Source organism: Homo sapiens, chromosome 1, assembly GCF_000001405.40.
Source record: "Homo sapiens chromosome 1, GRCh38.p14 Primary Assembly".
Classification (NCBI taxonomy): Eukaryota; Metazoa; Chordata; class Mammalia; order Primates; family Hominidae; genus Homo; species Homo sapiens.
In genome coordinates, this window is record NC_000001.11 from 157,418,145 (window position 1) to 157,424,861 (window position 6,717).

The window sequence follows — 6,717 nt, forward strand, 5'->3', positions numbered from 1 at the left end:
CTCCCTCAGCCATGCTGGCCCAAACCCTAGGTCAACCACTTCTCTGCTCACTTGCATCCCTCTGCCTGAAATTAGTTTTCTCTCTGTGCTCCTCACCCTCACTCCCACCTGCTGAAATTCTAGCGTGCTGCTCAAAGCCCTTCCCAAGGTGCCTGTTCTATGAGCTTTATGAATCCTAAAGGTTTAAAAATGACATCTCCCATATATGACTTTCCAGAACACCTTGGGCACTATGTATGGTCCCTGCCACAGTTTGCCCTGGGTTGGTCATGAGTCTTCCTGCAGTACCAACCTGGGCTCTCTCAAGAGGGTGTGGGACTGTGGGAGGACAGGATCAAGAAGACAAGCACCTCTTGGTGTAAAGGTTCTGGACCACCTTTCTCCCATCTCCCATCCTTCTGCTCAGCAGAGGGAGATGCAGCACAGGAGCTGCTGATAGACTCTCTGGTGTGGCTCTACCTGGAAACAGGGGTGGACACAATGAACTTCCTCGACTATACATGTCCTGAAGTCCTAGTTGGAGACTTCCTTACTCCCTTATCAGCTTCTTATTGTAAACCTGGCCATGCTTCCACCATGGTATATGGGTGGTTCTTCCCTCCTGAGGAGTCCTCACCTTCTTGCAACCTCTGCCTCCTGTTTGAATCCCAGCTTTTATGCAGAGATGGGCTAACTCTAGTACCACGAGGTGCTGCAGCATGTCTAGTGGCCTAGATCCTTGGGTTCGTGGTTTCACTCACGTCAACCACAGAAAACAAAGGTCTGAAAAGAGTCCCTGTTAAGAGATTGAGCACTAGGTAATAATCCTAAGTACTTGCTTAGGATCCTAAGTATTGCTTAGGATGGTGGATGGGTGAGAGAAGACAAAGAGTATTCACAGTAGGGCTTCATTTCTACCCTCTTCCCATTTAGGGTGCACAGAAAGCTGAGGGTGTGCAAATCTTCTCACTGGCTTCCCAGGTGACTGGCCATGACTGCGTATCAGTGTCCATTAGACCTGGGGCAGCGTAAGATGTGATCAGCAGCCTACCTTCCCACAGTACCAGCGGCAGCAAAAAAAAAACAAAAAAAAACAAAAAAAAAAAACAAAAACCAACAAACAAAACAAACAAATAAAATAAAAAAAGAAGAAGAACAGGGCTTTTGAGGCTGTTTTGAACCAGTTTTTGTCCCAGGCACTTTGCAAATATTGTTTCTTTTAATTCTTATAAGAATCCACTAGGGTTGGTATTGGTCACCAGCATTAGAAGTAGATGGTGGTGAGCTCTGTACTTTCGGTGCAATTTTTCTGTATACCTAAAACTGCTCTAAAATAAAGTGTATTAAATGATAAGTATTAAAAAATTGAGAAGGCTGCGTGGAGTGATTGGATGGCACCAACGGACAAAGCTCTGACACCACCCAACTGCGTGGTCTGGGCAGGCTGGCCAAGACCCAGACCACGGAGATGGGGCAAAGGCTTAGATCCAACACTGATGATTCCAAAGCCCCCTTTTTTTCTTCTTCATGAAATAGTGACTTAGAAGACCCTTGCTATGGTTTTGACGTTTCATGTTGGAACTTAATCCTCAATGCAAAAGCATGAAGAGTGGGCTTGGGGAAATAATTAGGCTCCACGAATGAGATTAGTACTCTTATAAAATGGTTTGAGGACAGTGTCACCCCTTTTGCTCTTGTACCCCTTCAAACATGTGAGAGCACAGTGTTCCTCCTTCCACCATCTGAGGACATGGTGTTCCCCCTTCCATCATGTCAGGACACAATGGTCCCCTCTTCTGTCACGTGAGGACACAGTGTTCCTCCTTCTGCTATGTGAGTACACAGTTTTCCCCCTTCCATCATGTGAAGACACAGTGTTCCCCACTTTTACCATGTGACAACATGGTGTTCCTCCTTCCACCATGTGAGGACAAGGTGTTTTTGCCACCACCATGTGAGGACACGGCATTCCCTGCTTCTACCAGGTGAGGACATGGTGTTTCTCCTTCTACCATATGAGGACATGGTGTTCCTGCCTTCCACCATGTGAGGACATGGTATCGCCCCTTCCACCATGTGAGGACACAGTGTTCCTGCCTTCTATTGTGTGAGGAAATGGTATTGCCCCTTCTACCATGTGAGGACACAGTGTTGCCCGCTTCCATAATGTGAGGACATGGTGTTCCCACCTTCCGCCATGTAAGGGCACTGTGTTCCCACCTTCCATCATGCGAGGACATACTGTTCTCCCCTTTCACCACTGAGTGCAGTGTTTCCCCCTCTGCCATGTGATGATGACACAATAAGATGCCATCTATGGAGCTGAAGGTGAGCTGAAGAGACCCTGAATCTGCCTTACCAGATGCTGAATCTATGGTGACTTTATATTAGACTTAGCCTCCAGACTGTGAGAAACATATTTCTATTACATACAAATCGCTCAGTGATTTACACATCTAAGGTATCTTGTTATAGTAGCCAAATAGACTAAGACACCCTTGGAATCCTGGAGTATTCAGATGTGAGTATCCTCCTGTTGTCAATCTCCCAAGGATCCTGGCCTCCTGACTGAGGTGCCTCAACTCAGGCTGAGCTCCTTGGTGCTGGAACAACTAACGATTGAAAGAGAAATTACCCCTTAAGTGGCAGTAGGGCCCTGATTGGGTAGAAGACATGGCATAAGGGACATTACACTCAAATGCAGACGAGACATTCAGAGTGGTCTTTATCTAAGGCTCCCCCCATCCATGGTCCATGTCAGAGATAGCATCATCCACATCCTCGAATAACCTTCAGCTGATGAAATTTTTGTTCATAATGTCATTCAGTAGGTTTTACATGAGTCTCTCATTTAAAGTTTCTACAATTCTGTAAGGCATAAACCTCCATCACTGTGCACATGGTGAAACTAAAATCCAGAGAAGTCATGCAATTTCTCTTCAGTGTAAGTGATGGAGTCATGATTTGCATCCAAAATGAACCATAATTTTGCTCATATTTGACTCCTTCTTATTTATTCCAGATGCCCAACCAGCCAGTTTGTTCCATTGGAACAAAGTCATAAAGTGTCTTGTATTCCATCTTCCTCTCATTATTTCAGTTTTTTTCACCTTCACCTATGCCATTTTACATTTCACCAGCGATGTGTGAGGGTATCTTCAAATCCTGCCCAACTCTTGTTATTGTCCATTTCTTTGATTATTGCCTTCTGAGTGTGTGTGAAGTGGTAACACATTGTGCTTTTTATTTTCATTTCCCAAATGAAATGAAAATCCCAAATACTAATATTGTTGAACATCTTTTCATGTGTTTTCATGTGCACATTAACCATTGGTATAACTTTTTTTTTTTTTTAATCTGTCTTGAATTCTCTTCTGTCATGCATTGCCCCCACCACTCCATTGAAACTGCTCAGGTCCAGGTCAGCAGGAAACTCCATGTTGCTAAATCCAGTGGTCAATGTTCAGTCCCCATCTTTGTCGATGTCTCAGCAGCAATTAACATATCCTTCCTTGAGACTGTCTTCACCTTGCAATCAACACTCACCATTCTTTTCCTCCTACTTAGGGGCTGCTCCTTTGTTTCCTTTACCAGTTTCTGTCTTATCTCTCTAACATCTCTATTCAGGAATATCCCCAGGTGATCTGTCTTCATTACCCACTTTCATTTTCTTTCTGAGATTGTAGCTATGCAGTAATCCCTGAACCATATGACAATATTACCTTACACGGCAAAGAGAACTTCGCAGATGTGATCAAGTTGAAGAGCCTTGAGATGTAGATTATCTTAGATTATCTGGGTGGGCTCAGTATAATCACATGAGTCCTAAAAGGTGGAAGAAGAAGAGAAATAAAAGTAGGCCAGGGACATATAAGGTGAGGACTTGTCCCACTGTTGGTGGCCTTGAAGATGGAGTAAGGGGCCCTCAAGCCAAGGAAATGTGGTAAGCTCTAGAAGCTAAGAAAGGATCTCAGTTTACAGCCAGCAGGAAAATGAGGATCTCAGTCTTATAAGCTCAAAGAGATAAATTCTGGCAATAGCCAGGATGAGCAGGAAATAGATTCTCCCCAGGAATCTCCAGAAAGGAACATAGCCTAGTGACACATTGATTGTATTCCAAATAGGCTTGTTCCAGACTTCTGACCTCCAGTGTGGTAAGATAATAAATTTGTTCTGTTCTGCCTGCCTAAGTTAGTGCCGATTTATTAAGATGAAAACAGAAAACTTATTAGTTTTCTAATAAAGTTGTCATACTGTCTCAAGGTTTTAAATACATTTGCTACTCTGAAATTTACAGCCAGATCCCTCCTATGGATGCCACATTGTGAATATCTAACTCCTTACTTGACAGCTCCAGTAGGATGTATAACAGGAATCTCCAGCTTTACTTTCAAACAACCCAAATATGCTTCCCACACAGTCTTCCTATTCTAATAAATGTCACATCGATTACTCCATTTGTGGCAGCCACAAAATCTTGGTGCCATCCTTGACTTTGTTCTTTTTCTCACACCCTACAATCAGTCAGTGAACAATATCTTGTTATTCAATGTATATTTTTATGGTATAACTGTTTGCCACTTAACCATATGACCTCCATCTCTCACCTGGATTATTACAGTAGACCCACAGTATCCCTGTGCCTATTTTTAGCCTCCTAATGTTTAGTTTCAAAATAGCGGCAAATGATCTTTACAAAACATCAGTTCCGTCACATTATTCCTCAGCTCAGAACTTTCCCGTGGCTCCCACTTTACCTGCAAGGCCCTGCACCGTCTGACCTCATAGCCCATGCTCCCCTCTTTCCTCAATCTACTCTAAGACACTGGGGTTTTTTCTATTTCCTTCAACAGACCAGGCATGCTCCTGCCTCAAGGCCTTTGATTGTGCCTAGAATTCTCTTCCTCCAGGTGTTTGCCTGTCTCATTTCCTGTCCTATTTCAGGTCTTTGCAGGAATGCTCTCTACTCAGTTGAGTCTACCTTGGCCCTCCTTCCCCATTTCAAACTGCATCCTCCTCCTGGTTCCCCGCTCTTTCTCCTTCCTTCCTGCTCTACCTCCCTCAGCACCACTTATCACCAGGAAGTGAGGCAGGGTGCATTTTATCCAGCTGCCCTTCAATGACAAATATGCAAAGAAGGCCTCAACGAAGCAAAAATTGACAAATGGGATCTAATTTAACTAAAGAGCTTCTGCACAGCAAATGAAACTATCATCAGAGAGAACACACAACCTACGAACTGGGAGAAAATTTTTGCAATCTATCCATCTGACAAAGGTCTAATATCCAGAATCTATAAGGAACTTAAGCAAATTTATAAGAAAAAAAGCAACCCCATTAAAAAGTGGGAAAAGTGTATGAACAGTCACTTCTTAAAAAAACACACACGTGGCCAACAAACATATGAAAAAAAGCTCAACATTGTTGATCATTAGGGAAATGCAGATCAAAACGACAATGAGATATTGTCTCAGACCAGTCAGAATGGTGATCATTAAAAAGTCAAGAAAAAACAGATGCTGGCAAGGTTGCAGAGAAACAGGGATGCTTTTACACTTTTGATGGGAATGTAAATTAGTTCGACCATTGTGGAAGACAGTGTGGCAATTCCTCAAAGACATAGAACAGGAAGTACCATTTCACCCAGCAATCACATTACTGGGTATATACCCAAAGGAATATAAATCATTCTATTATAAAGATACATGCATGCATATGTTTATTGCAGCACTATTCACAATAACAAAGACATGGAATCTACACAAATGCCCATCAGTGATAGACTGGATAAAGAAACTGTGGTACATATACACCATGGAATACTATGCAGCCATGAAAAGGAACAACATTGGGCATCTGGCAAGATGGCTGAATAGGAAAAGCATTGGTCTACAGCTTCCAGTGAGACCAATGCAGAAGGCAGGTGATTTCTGCATTTGCAACTGAGGTACTCAGTTCATCTCATTGGGACTGGATGGACAACGACTGCTGCCCATGGAGGTGAGCAGAAGCATGGTGGGGTGTTGCCTCACCATGGAAGTGCAAGGGGCCAGGGCCCTCCCTCCCCCAGCCAAGGGAAGGTGTGAGGGACTGTGCTATCTGGCCCAAACAGTATGCTTTTCCCATGGTTTTTGCAACCCGCAGACCAAGAGATATCCTCATGTGCCTACATCACCAGGGCTCTGGATTTCAAGCACGATATTGGGCGGCTGTTTGGACAGTCACCATGCTAGCTGCAGGAGTTTTTTTTCTCATACCCCAGCAGTGCCTGGAATCCCAGCGAGACAGGACTGTTCACTCCCCTGGAAAGGGGGCTGAAGCCAGGGAGCCAAGTGGTCTTGCTCAGTGGGTCCCACTCCCATGGAGCCCAGCAAGCTAAGAACCACTGACTTGAAATTCTCACTGGCAGCACAGCAGTCTAAAGTCAAACTGGGATGATCGAGTTTGGTGAGGGGAGGGGCGTCCGCCATTACTGTGGCTTGAGTAGGCAGTTTTCCCCTGACAGCATTAAGGAGACTGAGAAATTCGGACTGGGTGGAACTCACCACAGTGCAGCAAAGTGGCTGTGGCTAGACTGCCTCTCTAGATTCCTCCTCACTGGGCAGGACATCTCTGGAAGAAAGACAGCAGCCCTAGTCAGGGGCTTATAGATAAAACTCCCATCTCCATTGCACAGAGACACTAGGGGAAGGAGCTGCTGTAGGTGAAGCTTTAGCAGACCTAAATGTCTCTACCTGC

The 6,717-nt window shown here is 44.4% G+C and overlaps 1 annotated feature.

The window, feature by feature from the left end:
• Positions 3,379 to 3,880: an enhancer, noted in NCBI's record as "NANOG hESC enhancer chr1:157391313-157391814 (GRCh37/hg19 assembly coordinates)". NCBI's record gives its function as "activates a minimal SCP1, AML or CMV promoter by ChIP-STARR-seq in primed H9 embryonic stem cells {active_cell/tissue: H9 hESC(primed)}" and the evidence as "EXISTENCE:reporter gene assay evidence [ECO:0000049][PMID:30033119]".